This window comes from Homo sapiens, chromosome X (assembly GCF_000001405.40).
Source record: "Homo sapiens chromosome X, GRCh38.p14 Primary Assembly".
In the NCBI taxonomy this organism is placed as follows: domain Eukaryota; kingdom Metazoa; phylum Chordata; class Mammalia; order Primates; family Hominidae; genus Homo; species Homo sapiens.
The window spans coordinates 106629191-106655848 of record NC_000023.11 but is presented as its reverse complement, the minus strand read 5'-3'; the positions used below and the strand labels follow the sequence as shown (position 1 = coordinate 106655848).

Genomic DNA, 26658 nt, shown 5'->3' with positions numbered 1-26658 from the left:
ACCCAAAGGATTATAAATCATGCTGCTATAAAGACACATGCACACGTATGTTTACTGTGGCAGTATTCACAATAGCAAAGACTTGGAACCAACCCAAATGTCCATCAATGATAGACTGGATTAAGAAAATGTGGCACATATACACCATGGAATACTATGTAGCCATAAAAAAGGATGAGTTCATGTCCTTTTTAAGGACATGGATGAAGCTGGAAACCATCATTCTGAGCAAACTATCCCAAGGGCAGAAAACCAAACACCGCATGTTCTCACTCATAGGTGGGAATTGAACAATGAGAACACTTGGACACAGGGTAGGGAACATCAAGCACTGGGGCCTGTCATGGGGTGGGCGGTGGGGGGAGGGATAGCATTAGGAGATATACCTAATGTAAATGACGAGTTAATGGGTGCAGCACACTAACATGGCACATGTATACATATGTAACAAACCTGCACATTGTGCACATGTACCCTAGAACTTAAAGTATAATAAAAAAAGAAAACCTGAAAAAAAAATAAAGCTAATAACAACTTAAAAAAAAAAAAGAAAAAGAAACTGCCACAGCCATCAGCATAAGGCAAGACCCTCCGCCAGCAAAAAGACTACGACTCACTTAAGGCTCAGATGATGGTTAGCATTTATTAGCAATACAGTATTTTTAAATTCAGGTATGTACATTTTTGGATATAATGATATTGCATACTTATTAGAATGTAAACATAACTTTTATATGTACTGAAAAACCTAAAAATTTGTGTGATTTGCTCTACTGCAATTTTCACTTTATTCTAATGGTTTGGCACCAAACCCACAATATCTCTGAGGTACGCCTGCAATTAACCATGGAAGGACTTAAATTTGCTACTTTTCTATTGTTTCTCTTTGACTCATCTATTCCTTAGATCAATTTTCTCTTTTCCTGCCTTCTCTTGGATTGAATGTTTTAAAAAATAATCCCTTTATAGATTCTGGATATTAGCCTTTTGTCAGATGGATACATTGCAAAAATTTTCTCCCATTCTGTAGGTTGCCTGTTCACTCTGATGATAGTTTCTTTTGCTGTGCAGAAGCTCTTTAGTTTAATTAGATCCCATTTGTCAATTTTGGCTTTTGTTGCCATTGCTTTTGGTGTTTTATTCCTAAGTCTTTGCCCATGCCTATGTCCTGAGTGATATTGCCTAGGTTTTTTTCTAGGGTTTTTATGGATTTAGGTCTTACGTTTAAGTCTAATCCATCTTGAGTTAATTTTTGTATAAGGTGTAAGGAAGGGGTCCAGTTTAAGTTTTCTGCACATGGCTAGCCAGTTTTCCCAACACCATTTATTAAATAGGGAATCCTTTCCCCATTGCTTGTTTTTGTCAGGTTTGTCAAAGATCAGATGGTTGTAGACGTGTGGTGTTATTTCTGAGGCCTCTGTTCTGTTCCACTGGTCACTTAAACAAATTTACAAGAAAAAAATAAACAACCCCATCAAGAAGTGGGTGAAGGATATGAACAGACACTTCTCAAAAGAAGATATTTATGCAGCCAACAAACATATGAAAAAAAAATCATCATCACTAGTCATTAGAGAAATGCAAATCAAAACCATAATGAGATACCATCTCATGCCAGTTAGAATGGTGATCATTATAGTCAGGAAACAACAGATGCTGGAGAGGATGTGGAGAAATAGGAATGCTTTTACACTGTTGGTGGGAGTGTAAATTAGTTCAACCATTGTGGAAGACAGTTTGGTGATTCCTCAAGGATCTAGAACCAGAAATACCATTTGACCCAGCAATCCCATTACTGGGTATATACTCAAAGGATTATAAATTATTCTACTATAAAGACACATGCACACTTATGTTTATTGAGGCACTGTTCACAATAGCAAAGACTTGGAACCATTCCAAATGTCCAACAATGATAGACTGGATAAAGAAAATGTGGCACATATACACCATGGAATACTATGCAGCCATAAAAAAGGATGAGTTCATGTCCTTTTCAGGGACATGGATGAAGCTGGAAACCATCATTCTCAGTAAACTAACACAAGAACAGAAAACCAAACACTGCATGTTCTCACTAACAAGTGGGAGTTGAACAATGAGAACACATGGACACAGGGAGGAGAACATCACACATTGGGGCCTGTCGGCATGTTGGGGGCTAGGGGAGGGATAGTATTAGGAGAAATACCTAATGTAGACGATGGGTTGATGGGTGCAGCAAACCATCACGGCACGTATATACCTATGTAACAAACCTGCACGTTCTGCAAATATATCCCAGAACTTAAAAGTATAATAAAATAAAATAAAATAAAATAAAATAAAATAAAATAAAATAAAACATAATCCCATTAAGCCCTGCTATTGATTAGCTACACTTTTTTTTAGTGTTTTCTCCAAGGTCTACAATATACAACATTTACTACAATCTACCTTCAAATGATGCTATGCATCTTCATGCATGTAGTGTAAGAATTTTAGAACAGTGCATTTCCATATCCCCTCCAGTCATCATGCTATTTTTTCATAACACTTTACTTCTATATAAACTATAAACTCCACAATATATTTTTATTATTTCTGATCTAAAAGAAAAATGAGAAAATATATTTTATTTTACCCACCTATTTACTAATTCTAGTGCTTTATCTTCCTTTACTTAGATAAAAATTTCTATCAGGTGCTATACATTTTCTGCCTGAAGAATTCCTTTAATATTTTTCATTGTGTAGGTCTCGTGGTGATGAATTCTCTCAGCTTTTGCAGCTTTTGCAGCTTTTGTCTTTATTTTGCCTTTATTTTTAAAAGTTATAGTCACTGTGTATAGAATTCTAAGTTTACAGGTTTTTTTTTTTTTTTTTTGACAGAATCTCACTCTGTCACCCAGGCTAGAGTGCAGTGGTGCAATTTTGGCTCACTGCAACCTCCGCCTCCTGAATTCAAGCGATTCTCCTGCCTCAGCCTCCCAAGTCACTGGTAATACAGGCATGCTCCGTGATTACATGATTTCTTAAGAGACATCTGCTGTCATGCTTGTCTTTGATCCTTTGTGACTTATGTGTATTTTTTTCTTTTCTCTTTTGCTTCTTTTAAGATATCGTTTATCCTGGTTTTCAGTGGCGTGTGTGTGTGTGTGTGTGTGTGTGTGTGCATTTAATGATGTTTTTGTCTCCTTGTTCTATTATTTTAAGAGGAGTGCACCATGACTGTTATGTGCACCAACTGCTCTTAAAATCCACCAGGTTATTTACCTTTTTAAGATTATATTATATGTTATACACATTCATGATTGTTACTGTATTCTTAGTGGAATGTCCATTTATCATCCTATATATTCTATATCGTCCCTATTTATCTTTACTTACAGTTTTTACCTTAAATTCTATTTACTTCATATGAATATTGCTATACCACTTTTCTCTTGGTTAGTATATATCAGGTATATATTTTGCCATTCCTTTATTTTCAACTTTTTATATAATTTTGCTTAAGTATGTCTCTCTCTTAAAAAAAATTTCTTTTGAGATTGGTTCTCACTATGTTGCCCAGGCTGAAGTGCAGTGGCTATTCACAGACACAATCATAGCACACTACAGTCTCAAACTCCTGGGCTCAAGTGATCCTCCTGCCTCAGCTTCCTGAGTAGCTAGGACTATAGGTGCATGCCACTGCACCAGGCTTAAGTGTGTCTCTTATATGTAGCATGTAACTGGATTAATTTTTAAGATTGGAATACGAAAGTTTAATATGTTTACATTTATTGAAATTGTTGATAATTCAGAATTATCTCAGCTATATCATTTTGTGTTTTATCTTAAAAAAAAAAGAGAGAGATGGAGTCCCATTATGTTGCCCAGACTAGTCTTGAACTCCTGGCCTCAAGTAATCTTCCTGTCTCAGACTCCCCAAGTGCAGGAATCACAGACATAAGCCACCATGCCCAGCCCATGTTTTATCTTAATCATGCTTTTTCTTTGCTTTTTCCCCCTTTTTTCTACCTTTACTGCCCTGAAAAATTTTTCATAATTCCTCCCCTTTTTTTCTGTGCTGCTTCAGAAGTTACACATTCTATCCTATTCTTTCAGCTTGATCTTAAATTTTTAACTCACATGTTTAAATTTACAAAGCCTGCAGTATATAAATCTCTATTTTCCATAAAGATACAATGATCTTAGAATGCTTTAATTCTCATCTTTCCATCCATTTCACCTTAAATAGTATTTTCATTCTACTTTGTTTCAAATCCCATGAAATAATTTGTTACCATAGTTATTAATTTCTACTGCATATATTTATTTATATTTACCAATATTTTACTAACTTCTTTGCTTACCATTGCTTCTTACATTCTGATATTTCCTTTTGGTTTGATTTTCCATCTCTCAGAATTCTTTAGTAATTCTTTCATTGAGACTCTACAAGTAATAACTCTTTTAGTCTCTGACTATCTGAAAATATCTTTATTTCACCGTCACTCTTGCTTGATTGTTTAGGTAGACATAAAATTCCAGGTTAGGAATTATCTCAACACTTTGAAGATATTTCACTGTCTAAAGCATTATTGTTTTTGGGAAATTTTTCCGTCTAATTTTGTTTTCTTTGTTGATAAATCTGTCTTTTTTTTATCTCTGGTAGTTTTAAGGATGTTTATCTTTGATGCTCTGCAGGTTCACTATCATGGTCTGTATGATTTATCACATATCATATGTCTAGATACAGTTTATTTTTATTCTACTCAGAATTCACTGTGATCCTTCAATTTAATAATTCATTTTTATATATATACAATTTTGAAAAAATACCCTCTTCAAATACTGCTTCTTCCTAACTATCTCTGTTCTGTCCTCCTGAACCTTTATTAGATATAAATTGGACTTTCTCATCCTATCCACTATGTCTCTCAACTTGTATTTTACCTTTCTAAACTCTTTACCACTCTTTGGTGTGATTTCATCAGTATCTCCAAATACACTAAATTATTTCTTCATCTGCATTTATCTATTATTCTACTCATCCTCTACCGATAAGTGTGTGTGTGGATACCTTTTTCACATATGTCAGTTCTTCATATTGATCTGTTTCCAACCTACTGACTTTTATTTATTCCTTTAACTTTTTAAACGTGTTTATTTTAGAGCTGGATGTGGTGGCTCACACCTGTAGCACTTTGGAAGGCTGAGGCTGGAGGATCACGTGAGGCCAGGAGTTTGAGATCAACCTGGGAAACATAGTGAGACACTATCTCTATAAAAAAATTATAAAAATAATAAACATACGTTTCAAAGCCTCTTTCTGATTGGCCTAGTATTTCTAGTTCCTGGGGTATAAATTCTTCCATGTGTTACATCTGATCACACTGCCTTTCAGTAGTAGCTCATTTCCTTTGGAAGCTTGTAATTTTTCACCATGAATCCATTTTCTGTAGATATTGTTTTCCAAGGGAATCCCAAGCACCCTAGGTTACAAGAAACCTCCCTTTTAGGAAGTTTCACAACTGCCTTTGTCTAGACCTTAGGGTCTTGATTTCACTGATTTTGGACCAGATATTAGTGCTAACTCCTTAGTTCAGTAGCCTCACCATTTTAATCATGTGAACTGCAACCATACTTCCATGCTGCACAGGTCTGGGATTCCACTTTCTCTCAGATGACTTTTTCTTACCCATTGCCCAGGAGATACAGGAAGCTCTTTGATATCTCTCCACATTCATGGTCACAATTTTTCTGCCCTTCTGCAAACTTCCAACTTTACATTAGTTTTACTTCTTCACAAGTAGGAGGCCTGTGGTCTGGACTCTCCTTCCCATGTGGTTATTATACCTCTCAGCCCATGAAAATTAAGGTCTCTATCTAGTTCTGAGATGTCCATGAACACTTTCAGTTTTGGTTCCTACTCACTAGTAAATTTAAATTCCTTTTTTGTTTCTGGCACCTGGTGATTTTTCATTCTTGTTTAGAGCTTGATTAGATACTTATATTATAATGTTTTTCTTTTGTGGGTTTTCAATCGGCCAGATTTACCATAAGGCAATCCCTCCTTTTGCTACTGGTCTGTCAGGCTATTCTTGGATTTATTTCTTTCTGCAGCCTAAGACTCAATCCATTCTATCTTTCAATTTTAGTTAGCAAGTGAATGATTAACTTACATCTGAACAAGAGCTTTCTCCAAAACAGCATGGAATAGGAAGGAAAAGTTGAAATTAATTTCAAATAACCACTTCCTGTGAGATAAACAAAATGTGTCCATAAAGCTCAGCACAGTGCCTGACACATAAATGCTCAATAAATGGCTGGTACTACTATTATATAATTGTGAGAAGTACCATATTATCTTCTGTAGGTAAAAGAGATGGGATAATCTTAGCAGATGCTAATATAGAAATCTGTATGAAGTTTAATCACCAAGCTGACAAGCTGAAGAATAGAATTTAATTGCTTTCTTGGATATTAAACAGAGAATCACAAAACCTGGGAACAATTATGGTTTTCTCCTTCATTTTTAGAATTTAGAGTCCAGGCAAGATCCATTGCCTGAGGAACATTTTTTTAATTCAAATTATGCTTAGCTGGGAAAAATAATCTTTTTCTCCATAAGTCCGCAAATTATATTTTTTACTGAAATCATCTAAAGTGCTCATTGAAACTTTTGGACAAAGTATTCAGCCTTATAGAGAATAATCAGTCTAGAATATGACAGGAGAAATGAATAAAAATCTATTATTAACTAACCCACATAAATCTAATAGGTAAGGACAGATGTTTCTAAAAAGATTTAAAATGTTTAGAATGGACTTGTTCACAATGCTCCAATTTTATATCATGTAACAATCAACAAAAGTCATATTTAAATACTTTGGAAAGGTTCGTTGAGACATCAAATTTAACAAGGTAGTATTCAATAAAATGACAGTATCACTTTTGTCTAGGTGGAGGATGAAAACAAAATAACACCAAAAGCAAAGCAAGGAAATAAAGTGCTAAAAAGTCTAATCCAGAGAGATGATACCTGATAAGATCTGACTTAAACCAAACTACTCTACGGACACCCCACCAGAAAAAATTGTATTACGAAATCACTTCAGAAATGAGGCCAAAGTTCAAATCAGCCAACCCAATAGCAAAGAAAGAAGATACAATTTACTTTTAAGAGCTATCCATATTTGTTGTCAATTAAAAATTAAACTTCCTACTTATTCTTCTATTAAAAATAGTACATTTGAAGAGATATACTATTACTAATGAAACAAACTGGTAAGTATAAGTTTGTTTAAAATTACTTTCACTTTTGGGATGATACCAAATTGATCAGTACACTTTTGACAGTGACCTAAGCTAATATTACTATATGCAAAGTATACATTCTAAGCATGTATTACTTGTGCTTAGTAATTAAATAGTAATCTTCATAGAATAATGTTTCATAAAGTTTTCATAAATAATAATAACAAATAGTAACATACGGTTGAAGATGCTTGGCATGCCCGGTTTAATTCCCTTTGTTTGTACAGAAGCTCCTGGTTGAGGTACAGCAACTCTATAAAGGATAAGAAGAGTATAACCAATCCTTATAAAAAGAGTCTCAAATGAAAAACAAATCAACTGGTTCTATTCAGAATTTATTTTAATTCAATAAATTTAGAAAATATACAGGTTAAGTTTGTTGAATAATACATTAACATACACTAATAATTATGAAAAATATCCATATATAAAACAACTCAAATACTGCAATAGATTTAAATTTTAAAGATTATTCCATAAAAGGGAGCATTAATTTTATTAAATATTAACTGAAGATAATATTTTTATTCTTTATGACAGAAATTTAAAATTTAGTGCATGCAGAGCAAAAGAAATAATCAAAGTGAAGAGACAACCCACAGAATGGGAGAAAATATTTGCAAACTACTCATCTGACAAGGGATTAATAACCAGAATACACAAGGAGCTCAAATAAAACTGTAAAGGAAAAAAGCTAATAATTTGATGAAAAATGGGGAAAAGATTTGACATTTTTATGAGAAATGACATTTCTGTAACAGACATTTCTCAAAAAAAGACATATAAATGGCAAACAGGTATATGAAAAGGTGCTCAACATCACTGATCATCAGAGAAACCCAAATCAAAACTACAATGAGATATCATCTCACCCCAGTAAAAGTGGCTTAAATCCAAAAGACAGGCAAATAACAAATGCTGACAAGAATGTGGAGAATGGGAAAACTCTGTATAATGTTGGTAGGAATGTAAATTAGTATATCCACTATGAAGACAGTTTGGAGGTTTCTACAAAAATTAAAAATTGAGCTACCATATAATCGAGCATCCCCCCTGCTTGGTATATACCCAAAAGAAAGAAAATCAGTATATCAAAGAGATAGCTGCACTTCCATGTTTGTTGCAGAAGCTTTTACAATAGCTAAGGTTTGGAAGCAACCTAAGAGTCCATCAACAGATGAATGGATAAAGAAAATGTGGTACATATACACAATGGAGCACTATTCAGGCATAAAATGATTAAAATCCTGTCATTTGCAATGACATGGATAGAACTGGAGATCATTGTGTTAAGTGGAAATAAGATAGGCAATAAAAGATAAACATTGCATGTTCTCACTTATTTGTGGGAGCTAAAAATTAAAACAACTGAACACATGGAGATAGAGAGTAGAAGAAGAATGGTTACCAGAGGCTGGGAAGGGGAGTAGGGGAGTTTGGGAGAGGTATGGATGGTTAATGGGTACAAAAATATAGAAAGAATGAATAAGACCTACTATTTGATAGCACAACAGGGTGACTATAGTCCATAATAACTTCACTGTACATTTTAAAATAACTAAAAGACTGTGTAATTTAATTGTTTGTAACACGAAGGATAAATGCTTGAGGGGATGGATACCCCATTCTCCATGATGTGATTATTATGCATTGTATGCCTGCATCAAAACATTTCATGAATGCACCTAACATATACTTACAAAAATTAAAAATAAATAAGTAAAAATGAAATAAGTGCAATGGCCTAGTTTTTACATTTTCTTTGTTCAAAAATTATGGGAAACAATCTGGCCTGCCTTTCCAATTTCATTTCATAGTTTTTTATTAGTCCCATGGTGCTTTAAACCTTCACGCTTTTCTTTCTGCCTGGAACAATCCTATGTCCCCTTTCATTTGCCTGGTTAACTCTTACTCATCCTTCAGGATTTAGCTCCAGCATAATTTCCTACAAGAAGCTTCCCTTGATCTCTTGCCAAGGCTAACTGCCCCTTGTATATGCTATTACAGTACTGTGAATAAACTTCTATCATGGCATTCACCATATCATATTGAAATTACAGGTTTAAAAGTCTGTCTCTTCCACAAGACTTAGCTCTCTATGAAAGTATTAACTCATCTTTATCAGTTACATCTGCTATGACCCTATTTCCAAATAAGGTCATATTCAGAAGTCCTGAGGGTTAGGACTTCATTGTATGAATTTCGTGGGGACACAATTCAACCCATAAGTCTGCCCTCTGGTCCCACAAAATTCCTGTCCTTCTCATATGCAAAATAGGTTTACCCCATCACAACAGCCCCAAAAGTCTTATCCCATAGCAGCAAAATCCATTGATCTGTTGCTTATGAGAAACATACTTTACCTATAAAGATACATGTAAACTGAAAATAAAAGGATGGTAAAAGGTATTCCATGTCAATGGAAACCAAAAAACCGTAGGAGTAGCTATCTTTATATCAGACAAAATCGATTTCGAGACAAAAATAATAAGGAGTAGCTATCTTTATATCAGACAAAATCGATTTTGAGACAAAAACAATAAGAAGAGACAAAGAAGATCACTATATAATGATAAAGGAGTCAATCCAGCAAGACAATATAACAATTTTAAATATGTATGCACCCAACACTGGAGCATCGAGATATATAAACCAAATATTATTAGAGCTAAAGAGACAGATAGGCCGCAATACAATAATAGCTAGAGACTTCAACACCCCACTTTCAGCACTGGACAAATCTTCTAGACAGAAAATCAACAAAGAAATATTGGACTTAATCTGCACTGTAGATCAAATGGATCTAATAGATATTTACAGAACATGTAATCCAACAGCTGCAGAATACACATTCTTTTCCTCAGCACATGGATCATTCTCAAGGATAGATCATATGTTAGGTCACAAAACAAGTCTTAAAACATTCAAATAAACAAATAATATCTAGCACCTTTTCTGTCCACAATGGAGTAAAACTAGAAATTAGTAACAAGAATGATTTTGGAAACTATACAAATACATAGAAATTAAACAGCATATTCTTCAATTACCAATGTGTCAATGAAGAAATTAAGAAGAAAATTGAAAAATTGCTCGAAACAAATGAAAATAGAAACAAAACATAACAAAACCTAAGGGATACAGCAAAAGCAGTAGTAAGAGGGACGTTTACAGCTATAAGTGCCTCCAACAAAAAAGAAGAAAAACTTCAAATAAGCAACCTAATGATGCATCTTAAAGAATTAGAAAGGCAAGAGCAAAACAAACCCAAAGTAGTGGAAGAAAACAAGATCAGAGCATAAATAAATAAAATTGAAATGAGAAAATCAATACAAAAGATCAATGAAGCAAAAAGCTGCTTTCTTGAAAAGTAAAACAAAACTTACATTTAGCCAGACCATGAAAAAAAGAGAGAGGATCCAAATAAATTAAATTAGAAATGAAAAAGGAGCTTTTACAACTGATACTGCAGAAATTCAAAGGTTCATTAGTGGCTACTATGTACAACCATATGACAATAAAATGGAAAATTTAGAAGAAATGAACAAATTCGTAGATACATACAACCTACCAAGATTGAACCAGGAAGAAATCCAAAACCTGAACAGACCAATAACAAGTAATGAGATGGAAGTTGTAACAAAAAGTCTCCCAGTAAAGAAAAGCCTGGGATCCAATGGCTACACTGATGAATTCTACCAAACATTTCAAGAAGAGCTAAGATCAATCCTACTCAAACTATTCAAAAAAATGGAGGAGGAAGGAATACTTCCAAACCCATTCTGCAAGGCCAGTATTACCCTTATAACAAAACCAGACAAAGACACATCCATAAAAGAAAACTACAGGTCAATATCTCTGAAGAATTTTGATACAAAAATCCTCAACAAAATACTAGCAAACCAAATTCAACAATATATTAGAATGATCTCTCATCATGACCAAGGGAGATTTATCCCTGGGATGCCAAGATGGTTCAACATATGCAAATCAATGTGATATACCATATCAACAGAAAAAAGGATCAAAACCATACAATCATTTCAATTGATGTTGAAAAAACATTTGATAAAATTCAATATCCCTTCATGATAAAAACCCTCAAAAAGCTGTGGATAGAAGGAACGTACTTCAGCATAATAAAAACCATATATGAAAGACCCACAACTAGTATCATACTTAATGGGGAAAAACTGAAAGCCTTTCCTCAGATCTGGAAGACAACAAGGATGCACACTTTCACCCCTGTTATTCAGCATAGTACTGGAAGTCCTATCTAAAGCAATCAGACAAGAGAAAGAAATAAAGGGCATCCAACTTGGAAAGGAAGAAGTCAAATAATCCTTGTTTGCAGAGGATATGATTTTATATTTGGAAAAACTTAAAGACTCCACAAGAAAACTATTAGAACTCGTAAACTCACTAAAGTTGCAGGATACAAAATCAACATACAAAAATCAGAAGCACTTCTCTATGCCAAAAGTGAAAAATGTGAAAAAGAAATAAAAAAGTAATCCCATTTACGACAGCCACACATAAAATTAAATACCTAGGAATGAACATAACCAAACAAGTGAAAGATGTCTATAATGAAAGCTATAAAACACTGATGAAAGAAATTGAAGAGGACATTCAAAAATGGAAAAATACTGTATGATCATGTATTGGAAGAATCAATTTATTACAATGTCTATACTGCCCAAAGCAATCTACATATTCAATGCAATCCCTGCCAAAATACCAATGACATTCTTCACAGAAACAGAAAAAACAATCCTAAAATTTAGATGGACCCACAAAAGACCCAGAATAGCCAAAGCTATCCTAATCAACATATGCAAATCAATGTGATATATCATATCAACAGATTAAAGGATCAAAACCATACGATCATTTCAATTGATCAACACACAAATCCACACACCTAAAGTGAACTCATTTTTAACAAAGGTGCCAAGAACATACACTGGGGTAAAGACAGTCTTTCCAATAAATGGTGCTGGGAAAACTGGATATCCATATTCAGAAGAATGAAACTATACCCCTATCTCTTGCCATATACAAAAATCAACTCAAAATGGATTAAAGACCTAAATCTAACACATTGAGATATGAAACTACTACAGGAAAACATTGGGCAAAATCTACAGGACATTCGTCTGGGCAAAAATTTCTTGAGTAATACCCCACAAGAACAGGCAACCAAAGCAAAAATGGACAAATAGATTGACATCAAGGTGAAAAGCTTCTGCACAGCAAAGGAAACAATCAACAAAGTGAAGAGACAACCCACAGAATGGGAGGAAATACTTGCAAACTACCCATCTGACAAGCGATTAATAACCAGAATGTATAAGGAGCTCAAACAACTTATAGGAATAAATCTAATAATGCAATAAAAAGCGGGCAAAAGATTTGAATAGACGTTTCTCAAAAGAAGGTATACAAATGGCAAACAGGCACATGAAAAGGTGCTCAACATCACTGATCATCAGAGAAATGCAAATCAAAACCATACAATCGTTTCATTTGATGCTGAAAAAAAATTTGATAAAATTCAACATCCCTTCATGAAAAAAACCCTCAAAAAGCCGTGGATAGATACCATTTTACCTCAGTTAAAACGGCTTAAATCCAAAATACAGGCAATAACAAATGCTGGTGATGATGTGGAGAAAAGGAACTCTGTACGTTGTTGGTGGGAATGTAAATTAGTACAACCACTATGGAGAACAGTTTGGAGGTTCCTCAAAGAAACTGAAAATTGAAATACAATGTGATCCAGCAATTCCACTGCTGGGTATACACCCAGGAGAAAGGAAATCAGTATACCAAAGAGATATCTGCACTCCTATGTTGCTGCAGCACTGTTTATAATAGCTAAGATTTGGAAGCAACCTACATGTCCATCAACAGATGAGTGGATAAAGAAAATGTGATACATATACCCAATGGAGTACTATTTAGCCATAAAAATGAGATCCAGTGATTTGCAACAACATGGATGGAACTGGAGATCATTATGTTAAGTGAAATAAGCCAAGCATAGAAAGATAAACATTCCATGTTCTCACCTATTTGTGGGATCTAAAAATCAAACAAGTGAACTCATAAAGGTAGAGTTTAGAAGGACGGTTACCAGAAGCTGGGAAGGGTAGCAGGGGGGTGCGGGGAAGTGAAGACGTTTAACGGGTACAAATAAATAGCTAGAAAGAATGAATAAGACCTACTACTTGATAGCACATCAGAGTGACTATAGTCCATAATAACTTAATTGTACATTTAAATGTAACTAAAAGAGTGTAATTTGATTGTAATACAAAGGATAAATGCTTGATGGGATGGATACCCCATTCTCCATGACATTCTTATTTCACATTGTATGCTTGTATCAAAACATCTCATGTACCCCCATAAATATATATATACCTACTAAATGTACCCACAAAAATTAAAAGTTAAACAATTTTAAAAAATAAATTAAAAATTTTACCTATTACTTATTCACAACCAAAAACTGCTGTGCACCCGGGCACACTCTAAAAGATTGGAATTTTTAAAATCTTAAAATCTAAAGTGATTCTGCACTCTGCTTTATGAGTGTTTGGGCTTTCCTGACACTTTAAAGAAACCAAAACTTCCAATCATGTACAATTCATAATGTATGAATGTTTTGTAGTAAAGACCCATGCTTAAACAACTGGTAAGCAAATGTAAGCTATAATGTTCTTGTTGTTCAGGAAAATGGAAGAATGACCTTGGGAGTGAGACTACCTCCTTGGTTTCAGAGGACAAGTGCTCCCTTTTCAATTCCAGAGGGTGGGTTCATTTCCTTGGTTCCAGAGTGTGGGGCCATCACCCAGGATTGTAGAAGTGGGGATGCTACCCCAGTGAGCCCAGAGGACATAAGACTGTGGCGAAGAGAATAATTCTGAAGCCTTAAAATCTAATGCAATTTATTTGCCTTGCTAGGTTTTGGAGTTGCTTGTGACCCATGATCCCCCTTTTCTTTCCAATTTCTCTCTTTCAGAATGGGAGTGTCTATCCTATACCTATCTCATCACTGTATTCTGGACAGATAACTTGTTTGATTTTATAGGTATACAGATGCAGAAGAATTTTGCCCCAGGATAAATCACCATGATCATGGATGGATGAATTACATCCATATGAAATTTAGATGAGATTTTGGATTAGAATTGATGGTGCTATGGGATAAGACTTTTGGGGATGTTGTGATGAGGTGAACCTATTTTGCATATGAGAAGGACAGGAATTTTGTGGGACCAGAGGGCAGACTTATGGGTTAAATTGTGTCCCCACAAAATTCATATGATGAAGTCCTAACCCTCAGGACTTCTGAATATGACCTTATTTGGAAATAGGGTCATAGCAGATGTTACTGATAAAGATGACGTCATACTGGATTAGGGTGGTCCCCTAATCCAATATGAGTGGTATCCTTATGAAAAAGGTGAAATTTGGACACAGACATTACACAGAGAGAACTCCATGTGAATATGAAGGCAGAGATTGGGGTGATGCTTCTACAAGTTAAGGAATGCCAAAGATTGCCAGCACCCTAAGAGGCTAGGAGAGAGGCATTGAACAGATTCTCTCTCGCAGCCCTGAGGGAACCAATGCTGTTGACACCTTGATCTTGAACTCTATCCTCCAGAACTCTGAGACAACAAATTTCAGTGTTTAAGTCACTCAGTTGTGGTATTTTGTTATGGGGGCCCTAACAAATTAATACAGCTTCTACGATAATTGCTTATTTTACAGGGTAGAGATAACCCAAAAGAAAAAATATACTTTACATATACTTAATACAAATGACTTACGGATTAGCGTGTGGGCCTTGAAGAATTCTTATTTTATTGCTCAGACTTAAATTTGTAGATGTAGTTTGGAAATACTGAGAATTCACAGGCTCATCATCTTGATGCCGTTTACCATTTCTTTCTTGAATTTCTACTCTAGCTGCTTGAGAGGTCGAGGGTCTGTTAGCATTCTAAAACCAATAATTTAGAGAAAACACTTTAGGCTAATTCACAATTATTAATCTCATAAAAGACTACAATTTTAGTGTATTCATTTTTCATAATCAACAGTTCTGGCAAAACTTCAATCATAACAGTGCTTTTATGAAAATGATTGAATCTAATCCATCTGCTATTAAAATATTTTTTAAAAGGAAGACAAACAAAAGTCCTTCTTATACTACTATCTGAAAAGCTGGATTAAACACTTATTTCCATATAAATAGTAGTAGTCCTGGACGTAGTGTTTAAAAAGATAAACTCATGGGAAAAATTAACTTGTCTTGATTGTGCCAATATTCCAGAACTGGCATCTTCTATAATACTAAACTATTTATTCTAGAAGAGTTATAGAACCTGGGTAAGACTACTATGCCAGATATAGAGAAAACTTCCTATGAAAGCTTTCCTGTAGTACTGGCCTGGACAAAAGGTAGGAAATTAATATAGTCATAGATACCACCTAGAAATTTAAAACACCCACAATAGCCTCAAATTACACAGAATGCAAAAACAGGATACCAAGTTTTGAGGGCCTTGGGAAATGTCAAGAGGCTATAATCATTATTGGCCTAGTCTGCCCCCAAATAAATGACACAAAAAGGAAACAAACAAAAAAGTAAAAATATTAGGTTGGTGCAAAAGGAATTGCGGTTTTTGCCATTACTTTTATAGGCAAAAACCACAATGCCTTTTGCACCAACCTAATGTTTTCTCTTAGGCTTACATTATTAAGAGTCAATACACGTGAGTTCTGAATAAAATGTAAAAGGTACCAATTGCAATCATAATCACAGTGCTTTCAGAGAAATACTATTAATTCTCTGGCACCATACCCGAAGTGTTTCTGATGCTGAGGCACTTTCAGTCGCACTGCTATGGGGGATATACTTTATAGCAGTAATTATCCCCTGAATTGCAATGCGCTTTTGTTCCCTATACTGCAAGTCTTCAATCTCCTTCCTGACTTCACTTATAGCTGTCAAGAGCGACTCAACTGCAAAAAAGTCCAAGAAAATTGTAAGTTTTAAAGAACTGAAATGATAAAAATAAGAATTAGATTTGCAATGTAATTTCACAACACAAAATTATAAACTTACTACATTAACTGTGAGACACTGTGTTTATATCTGGCATCCTTCTATATAATTTTGTGAAATAGGCAAAATACTTTTATCAGTTAAATTTGAATACAGGCTTCCACTCTGTACCCCTCATTTGCAAAATAAATTTTGCATATTAAATGCAATTTACATATTATATTTCAAACTATAAAGTGTTGCCTAGCCACTGCATAGAAAAACACATTTTAATTATTTCAAACACTATTACATATTGCTAGCATTATGATGTATAAGAGGATGCCAATATTTAGATGATGATAGGTCCGCATTTTAAAGTTTCTCTTTTTTTCCAAAACCATGCAATTATCTCATAGCTTTTTAAAAAAGAACATGCTTGTGCTAAACTTTTCAACTGTCATATATTAATTCTACTAAAAAGTATATTAATAGTAGGCTTCTCATCAGTACTTCAATTCCAAATTCAGCATCTCATTTATTTTGGCATCATTTCATATTTAAAGATAGCACTCAATTGTGTTAAACACAATATATATCATTCCACAAGAGTCGCATAATACAGTTGTCAGTCTCTGAATATCAAGTTACCCAGTGTCTCCTTTAGATATCTTTAGTCTTTCTGTATAACATCATAGCAATTGAGATCTACACCAAGGTCAGATGTGATCTCAATGACATTAAATAAAGATATTTATAGGTTGAACATCCCTTCTCTGAAATACATTGGACCAGAATATTTCAGATTTCTGATTTTCTTTATTTTGGAATATTTGTATTATACTTATCAGTTCAGCTTCCCTAATGCAAAATTCCAAAATCTGAACTGCTCCAATGAGTAGTTCTTTGAGTGTCACTTCAGTACTCAAGAAGTTTCAGGTTAGGCCGGGCGCGGTGGCTCACGCCTGTAATCCCAGCACTTTGGGAGGCCGAGGCGGGCGGATCACGAGGTCAGGAGATCGAGACCATCCCGGCTAAAACGGTGAAACCCCGTCTCTACTAAAAATACAAAAAATTAGCCGGGCGTAGTGGCGGGCGCCTGTAGTCCCAGCTACATGGGAGGCTGAGGCAGGAGAATGGCGTGAACCCGGGAGGCGGAGCTTGCAGTGAGCCGAGATCCCGCCACTGCACTCCAGCCTGGGCGACAGAGCGAGACTCCGTCTCAAAAAAAAAAAAAGAAGTTTCAGGTTTTGGAACATTTCAGATTTCGGATTTTTGGATTAGGAATACTCAACCTATATCTCCAGTTGGTTATCATCTGTGTTTTCTCTTTTCTTCCAGTCTGATAAAAATCAAAGTATTAATCTTTAGAGCACCATGCGAGATATAGGGAAAACTATATAGAAAATACGTGACATATATTTTTAGATCTGCATTAAGACAAAGCTATTATCGGTGAATGTTGCTAAACTTTAGATCACTCCCATAAAAGAAAAGAATAAAGATGACTAATTGAAATAGCATAAGCCATACATATAAAATATAAACATATTTAGAAGGACTGGCAATTACATTAGTACCTTTAATAGAACTACTATACTTGGAAAATGTCTCTGGCACTGGTGGATAGGGGTAATATCCACCAATAACCATATTCTTCTGTTCCCCGGAATCAGACTTTGTTCTAATCCATTGAATAAAGTTTTTTACCTTGGCATCATACGTATACGGCTGGCCTCTATGACCTCCTCGCGGGAAGGGTAAATCATAAAAAATGAGAAATAAAAATGTCACTGTAACAATCTGTATGCAAATTTTTGTGTAAAAACAGTTTACTATTAAAACAATCCCTCTTTTATCACCAAGAAAAAAACAGTCAAGTTTACTTATTCACTATGTATAATTATCCAAAGACAGTAAATAAATCCTAAGAAGAAAATCAGACACACTGTGTATTAGAGTTTAAGTGGACTAAACTGTAGCTAGCTATAAGATGCTAGAAATCACAGGAAGAAGAAAAACTAATAATTTGAATTTTTCTAACCATCCAAATGGTTGACATCTTCTGAAATAACCGATTTTTAAACTACGAATTAACCTGAAATTATGGCATCATGTATGAATGAAACTTCCTATGAATATGGCTCAGCATTTAAATTTATGTTCTTAAAGCATACTTAAAAGTGCCATATTCACATCTGATAGTATTTATAAAATAAGATATGCATTGACAAAGATGTATGTTACACCTTTCCTAGGACCCTTCTTTTAACAAATTTCTTAATTACCAACATGGTAACAATCTGGTAAACACCCAATCCACACTACTTCCTCACTCTCTCATTTGGAAACGTTTTTCTTTAATGTTTTGATCCTATTATTGGAGGGAATAGGGAAAAACAATATACTTGCAGACAAGTAATGAGACCTCTCTTGTTATATAAATAAAACATAAGATCTTGGGGCTAAAATTTGACACTCAGTTTTGTTTTCATTTAGAATTTTAAAATATTGTTAACAGAATCCATATTATGATACCAGGCCTAACCAGGTCTTCAATCTATCAAGCAATTTATGATTATCTACATTCTATGCCAAGCAGGAATTAAAGTTGACTGAAGGATATAAATGCAATTTTCCACTGAGTCACAAAATCATTGCCTCATTCGTAAGTAATCCATAAGCAACGTATTTCACAGGCCAAAAATTCTTTGCTAAAACACTCTTATAGTAATAAAGGAAGTCAAAATAAAGCTATCTTGTAGTTGAATGTTATTATATAAAAGTTAATATGTACTGAAGGATTCTAGGGAAGAGAAAATATATTTCTAATAATATACACAAAGAAATTACTCACCAGTAATAAACACTCCACTCTCATTTGTAGTGGTGAGGTAAAGCAGCTTAGGTACTTGATTGTCATTTCTGACAACTTTCAACTGTGTACACACAAAATATGCCACTAGAGAACAAAAACACTTATGAAATTACTTTTCCATTTCAAATAGGACATAACAAGATCAGGATCTAACACAATGCTTCTCAAACTTTAATGCACAAAGAAATCACATGGTACCAATGTTAAAATGCAAATTCAGATTCAGTAGGTCTAGGGTGGGGCCTGAGATTCTGCATTTCTAATAATCTCCTAGGCAATTATTAGTGCTGCCAGTCCTGGGACCACACTAGGAACAATAAGGGTTTAACACTACTCTGCTTTTTGCGAGAGGCCCCTTTTTTTTAAGAAAGTACAACAGCTGCAACTAACTAAAGTCATTTGTTTGTTGCACAGATAAAGAGTGCAAGTCATTTTAACTGGGCCCACACCTGAGTGTGAACAGTGATTTCCAACAGAGAAAAAAAAGCTTAGTTTCTCCATGATACTTCCACTGACTAACCCTAACTAACACTAAACTCTGAATTACTCTAACTCCTTCCACCAGATAGGGCTTATATATTATTGACTGGTATTTGCTTATGCAACTGTTTTTTATCTTTTATGTATTTATCTTAATTAGATTTTAAGGCCAATGGCAGGGCTTATATCATCTGTTTATTTTCTTTTCACCTTGCTAACTTTATAGACTAAAAAGAATATCTAAAAATGAGAGTATAATGTCTTCAGATTTCAACTACTTTCAACAACTATCAATTGTTTTTACCTAACAGGCTATCTAATTATTATAGTTTCATTAATCCAACATTATTTTTTATTTTAACTCATTATATGTCAAAACACTTACGGTTTTACAAACTAGGAAATGAAGAAATAAATGTAAATTCTTATAATCACACAAAGTAATTTCTCATTTGAGAATAAAAATTTCTCCAGAGCACAACTGTACATTCATTTGCTACATCTCATATTTACTAAGTTCTTTATTCTGTAGCAATGCAAATGAAGAAAATCTGTTCAAATGCTAAGAATTACCTTAATTTATATTAAGAATTATCTTAATTTTTCCATTATTTCAAAAACTACAAACATATGAATACTAATGGCTAAAGGTGTTGATACAGGAATATTAAAGAAACCTCTAAAATATGTTAAGCCAGTAGATCTCATGTTACGTGTTCTTACAACAATAAAATAAATTTAGAAAAAAATAAAGAAACCTCTAATTCTAAATTCATGGCCACTAAAAATCTGAGAGTCAGATCTAACACTTCCTAGCTATATGAAATCCAGGAAATTACTTAACCCCTCTGGAAGTTTGCTTTCTCACCTGAAAATTTATAACAACATCAACTCTTCAAAAGGTAATTGAGAGTACAAAATGAGATAATATCTATAAGCATCTGGTACATGGTAAACACACAACATTACTTCCCCTTAGTTCTTCACTTTTCTTATGAAAAAAAAAGTCATACTACCAAAGAATTTTGGTATTATTCCTGAAGACTTTTGGCCATGCTCCCCTTCTTGGGCCTGAAGCCCCCTTAATACTCACCATTAATTTAATGATTTTTTCCTTCACTTTTGGTCAAAAGATAAAAACAAATTGTGACTGTTGTCAACTATTATACTAGAATAAATCTCACCAAGATCCGAATATACGTTTCTTAGAAGGATACATTTCACATTATCACAAGAAATACAATATGCGTGCTTGGCAAAGTTCCTGCGAGAAATCTTTATCCAAAATTCTTGTTAGCTTGTTGTTTAAAGTGGTTACAAACAAACAAAAAGGAAGCTGGCAATAAAACCCACCTAAATTGAGGCAATAGGATTATCACCAGAAGTCATCACTGCCAATTACTTATGCCCTAAAAGAAGTTATATCAGAGTTAATAGCCCACTCACCTTGGAAGTCCATGCCTTGGTTTGGCCGAAACTCTCTTTCTGTTCCATCCCCCATAAATTGGGGTGAGGTTTGGTTCTATTCAGATATATTTTTAAAATTTAATCTCACAAGCCTAGGGTAGAATCTAACAAAGCAGAGGTGTATAATACTGTTTTGTATAGAGAATAAAGGGGCAGCAGAACAGCCCTATATATAGTGTCTAGGTCTCTTGGTGTTCTACAATGTCTATCTTATTGCTGGTTAAAAAAGTAATAATAATAGATATAGGCCAGGTGCAGTGGCTCACGCCTGTAATCCCAGCACTTTGGGAGGCTGAGGTGGGCAGATCACCTGAGGTTGAGTTCGAGACTAGCCTGCCCAACATGGTGAAACCCCGTCTCTACTGAAAATATAAAAATTAGCCAGGCATGGTGGTGTGCTCCTATAGTCCCAGCTACTCAGGAGGCTGAGGCAAGAGAATCATTTGAACCTGGGAGGTAGTGGTTGCAGTGAGTCAAGATTGTGCACTGCACTCTAGCCTGGGCGACAGAGTGAGACTCCATCTCAAATATATATATATGTATACAGATAGATAGATAGATATATACAAACACACACACATATATGTAGTAAATATTGGGAGTTTCTTCAATGTTGGCCAAGCATTTAACACAGATAGCAATTAGTGTTTATTCATGTAATTATTTGGAAAAAAATAAAATGTCATCCCCTAACTACAATAGCTTTATATTCTAAATTTAAATAAGGAAATATTCATTGAAACTGCTGAAAAGTATTATACTTTTTTCCTTATCATAATAGATCTGAAGACTAGCCTGTTATATGTAATATGTAATAGGACAAACCTAAAATAATTTCAAATAAATAAAACTAGTGGAAAAAATACTTTTATATCTGAATGAATCCAGGGGAGAAAGTCAATGCCAAAGTAAGCCAAAGTAAAATATTGACCAGCCGGTATAAATAACACTACCAACTTACTTGAATAATTTAATATTCGACCGGAACCATACTTACCATTGTTATTATGTAATTACATAGTCCACCAATCTTCTACCAATTAATGCTATATAAGTCTTCGATGTCTTTAATGTGGTCTACTTAATCAATTTCCAAATGTATAAAAAGGGAATTGACTGCCCATGTTTTAGTCTTATTGAAATTTAAGGATTTTTTTAATGCGTGGAATTTTTACAATGAGAATTGATAAGAGGACCTGTTTTCTGAAAAACTGGTTTCAATCCCAAGTTAATTCTGAACAGACAACCAACGGGTTGTTAATGTCTATAAAAAACGATATTAATATAGAAAAGATTTAAACATGCTGTCAGACTGCTTGAATTGCCAACTCAATGTCACCCTACTTCTGTAAGTCAGTTTACTCTACATTTTTAAAGTTAATTCTCCTACTTCCAAACATAATATAAAAATATTAAAAATCGCTTACTTGGGTAAATATTTTCAAAGATTTCTGGCTGCGATGTTGAAAACAGTTCCACTATAAATGGTTGTTCTGAAGTACCGTCAGCAATGTGAATCCAGCGATATGACCAAAAATCTTCACGGTTTTCTATATGGATAGAATATTAAAATAAATGAAGGTAACTGTTATATACATATGAACACAAAATTATTCACTGAAATACTTTTTATGATTTTCAATTTTAAAAGCTTACCTTTCTTTTTTGACCGCTGGACCCTTCCTACAAAAACTAAAAGGCCAATAACATCACAGATGCAATTTTCTGGCATATCATCCAGTTCTGACCTAAAAAGGTAAAATCACTAAATTAATATTTTATTTTTAAACAGTGAAAAAGCATTCTACAATTATTTTGAAAATGTATATCTACATAATTGCTATAGCTTAATTCTGGGTAGATTTTGAGCAAATTATAATGCATTGTTTTTCAGTAACCAAGACTGAAGATTAATATTTAAGACATTTTACAAGAAACTATTTTACCTTGTGGTAAATCGGTGATTTAGCTTTGGCAGTCTCCATTCTGGTTTCACCTGCTTTTCTGGAATGATAATTATATTTGTTGGGGGATCTCGAAGATTCAGGCAGATTTCTGAAAAATAAATATATTACTTTAATATGCTATTTAATACACACCAAAGAATATACATGAATATATATTAAAAAGCAAAATAGTATACTGAACATTTTGAACCCACCACTAAACTCAAGAACTAGACTATTATCAGTGTTCTTCTACCTCCATTATCACATCCACTTATCTCTCCACCACAGTTTAAAAAGTTTAACCACACTTTGAGAACTTTGTGTTCTATCATTTCTTTAACTTAAAAAGGGTTTTATCACTTTGCCCAGACAAAATCCTATTTGGCTTTGTTTTTGAACTTCATATGAGTGAAATTATATTCTGCATTTTATGACTACTTTTTTCACTCAACATTATATTAATAAAATTCATCCATGTAGCTGCATGTAGCAGTTTTCTTGTCATTTCCACAGCTGAATAATGTTCCAGTGTGTTAATATACTACAATTTATTAACTAAAATTTATTTATCCATTATTGTGTTAATGGACATCTGGATTATTTCCAGGTTTTTACTATTATACATAGGGTTGTTTAAAAATTTTTGTATGTGTCTCCCTGTGCACACAGGCAACTGTTTTTCTAAGGTATTATATGTAGGTGCAAAAATGCTGGATTATGTGATATGTAAATGTTCAGCTCTATAGCATAATCCCTAATCATTTTAAGTAATGAGCCTATTTGTGTTTCTACCAGCAATGTGTAAAAATTCCCATTGATACACATCCTCTCCAAACCTTGGTATTGTCAACTAACTTTCTTTCTTTCTTTTCTCTTTTTCTTTCTTTTTTCTTTCTTTCTTTTCTTTCTTTCTTTCTCTTTCTTTCTTCTTTCTTTCTCTTTCTTTTCTTCTTTCTTTCTCTCTCTCTCCCTCCCTCCCTTCCTTCCTTTCTTCCTTCTTTCTTTCCTTCTTTCTTTTTTTTTTTTTTTGACAGGGCCTTACTCTGTTGCCCAGGCTGGAGTGTAGTGGCACAATCATACAATCATGGCTCACTGCAGCCTTGAACTCCTGGGCTCAAGCAATCCTCCTGCCTTAGCCTCCTGAGTAGCTAGAATCATCATGTCCAGCTAATTTTTGTAATTTTTGGTAGAGATGGGGGGGTCTTATGTTGCCCAGGCTGATCTTGAACTCCTGGCCTCAAGGCTTCCTCCAGAATCAGCCTCCCAGAGCACTTAGGTCTCAGGTGTGAGCCACTGCACATGGTCAAATTTGGTACTTTTGGCCAATCTAGTGATATGACAATTTGTTGTGATCCTATTTTGTATTTCCCTTAGTACTAATCATATTGAACAACATTTCATATACTTATGGTTCATATATGCATTCTCTTCTGTGAAATGCCTTGGTCTTTTGCCCATTGTTCTATTGAATTGTTGAATTGTCTTTTAAAAATTTGCAAGAGTTGTTTATATGTTGGATATTAATTCTTCATTGATTATGTAGTGGCAAATACAATCTTTACCCAGTTTATTTATCTCTACTTATTTATTTAAGGCTTTCTTAATGTCTTCCAATAATGTGTCATAATCATCTCCACACAGGTCTTACACATCTTCTCTTACATTTATTTCTAGACATCTTATAGTTATTGTTGACAATGTCAATGATGTTTTCAAGTTATAATTTCTAACTCTTTATTATTGGAGTATACATAATCAGTTGACTTCTTTTGTAGCTTTGCTAATATCTTATTACTTTTAATTTTTATTTTTAAAAACTTTTATTTTAGGTTCAGGGGCATATGTGCAGGTTTGTTATATAGGTAAACTCATGTCACGGGGGTTTGTTGTACAGATTATTTTGTCACCCAGGTACTAAGCCTAGTACTCGATAGTTATTTTTTCTGATCCTCTCCCTCTTCCCACCCTCCACTTTCAAGTAGGCCACAGTGTGTGCTGTTCCCCTCTTTGTGTTCTCATCATTTAGCTCCTGCTTGTAAGTGAGAACATGTGGTATTTGGTTTTTTGTTCCTGCATTAGTTTGGTAAGGATAATAAATCCTATTTTTTTAATACTTTGTGTTATTTTTTCTCTGTATAAAATTTAATTTGCGAGTAGTAACAGTCTTGCACCTTTCTTTAAAACCTTTATACCTTTAATTCATTTTGTCTTCTCACACTGGCTAGGACAGCCAGTACAACATTAAATAGAAATAGTAATAATAGGAGACATCCATTTTCCCCATTTTATAAAGGAATGTATCTAACTTTTACCCATTAAGAATTGTGTTTGCCGTTTGGTTTTGATTTTGTAAATACCCATTATTAGGTGTTTTTTTTTTTTTTTGTTTGTTTGTTTTTTTGTAGTTGTTGTTGGTATTGCTCTGTCGCTCAGGCTGGAATGCAGTGGTGCAATCACGGCTCATTGAAGCCTCAACCTCCTGGGCTCAAGCAATCCTTTCTCCTCAGCTTCCTGAGTAGCTAGGACTACAGGTGCATGCCACCACAACTGGATAATTTTTTCTTTTTATTTGTAGAGACAGGGTCTTACTATGTTGCACAGGCTGGTCTCAAACTCCTGGCTTCAAGTGATCTTCCTGCCTTGGCCTCCCAAAGTGCTGGAATTACAGGCATGAGCCACCATGCTCAGCCCCCTTACTTAGTTTAAGGAAGTTTCCTTCTCTTGCTATTTTCTTTTTTAAATTAATGAATAGTTGTAAAATTTTAATAAAAGCTTTTTGTGTATCTATTAAAATGCTCATTATCTAATTTGTAAAAATGGCGGGTGACACAGATTTTTATATGTAAAACCAATTTTGCATTGCTGAGGAAAAATGCAACCTAGTCACAGTATGTGAACTTATTTTTTTTTTACACATGATGCAGTTTGCCAATATTCCATTCAGAATATCTATATATATGTTTATATATTAGTGGCTGAAGCTGACCTATAATTTTTCTCCTTCATACTATTCTTGTTTGGTTTTGATTATCACGGTTATATTGGAAGCAAAATATGAGTTTGAGAATATACTTTCTAGTCTAGTCTCTGGAATAGGTTTAGAATGATATATTCCCTAAATGTTTGGTAGAATTTCTCTATAATATGATGTATGCCTGATATTTTCTTTGTGGGAAAAATTTAAACCTCTGATTCAATTCCTTTAATAGTTATAAAGCTATTTGGGCTTTTTTCTTCTTGGTTAGTTACATTTTTCTAAGAACTTTCTGTGTAGCAAACAAGGCTTAAACCAGGATGAAGATATTTTATTTCTATTTCTGCCTATTACTAGTCATGTGAAAGGAAATATTCACTTTACCTTTATGAGTTTCAGTCTATTCATATATAAGCAAGCAAAGTTGTATTACATAATATTACCTTGCATCATAGTTTGCATATTCCGAAGTACTTTCATTGTCATAGTATCACTTAATTATATTCAAGGTCCCTTCCAGCTCTAAAATGCTAGGGTTCCGAATTAAAGAAATAGCCCCTGCCCGC

The 26658-nt window shown here is 34.2% G+C and overlaps 1 protein-coding gene and 1 non-coding gene across 4 annotated transcripts in view; both read right to left on the bottom strand.

The window, feature by feature from the left end:
- RADX (RPA1 related single stranded DNA binding protein, X-linked) overlaps window positions 1-26658 on the bottom strand; it is a 67462-nt gene that overhangs the window by 23591 nt on the left and 17213 nt on the right. Inside the window, exons 4-11 of one of the 3 annotated variants that reach the window (NM_018015.6) lie at window positions 23116-23224; window positions 22826-22917; window positions 22597-22719; window positions 19202-19306; window positions 17925-18089; window positions 16162-16322; window positions 15128-15297; window positions 7463-7536 (exon numbers count right to left, since the gene is read on the bottom strand). In NM_018015.6, coding sequence (NP_060485.4) covers window positions 7463-7536; window positions 15128-15297; window positions 16162-16322; window positions 17925-18089; window positions 19202-19306; window positions 22597-22719; window positions 22826-22917; window positions 23116-23224 — 999 coding nt within the window. Of the gene's footprint in view, window positions 1-7462; window positions 7537-15127; window positions 15298-16161; window positions 16323-17924; window positions 18090-19201; window positions 19307-22596; window positions 22720-22825; window positions 22918-23115; window positions 23225-26658 lie in introns of those variants that run through there. The other 2 variants (NM_001184782.2, XM_047442233.1) reach the window with 2 other exon arrangements.
- MIR548AN (microRNA 548an) lies at window positions 15953-16035 on the bottom strand. Its single transcript, NR_039765.1, has one exon. It is a non-coding gene; the product is annotated as a microRNA 548an (primary transcript).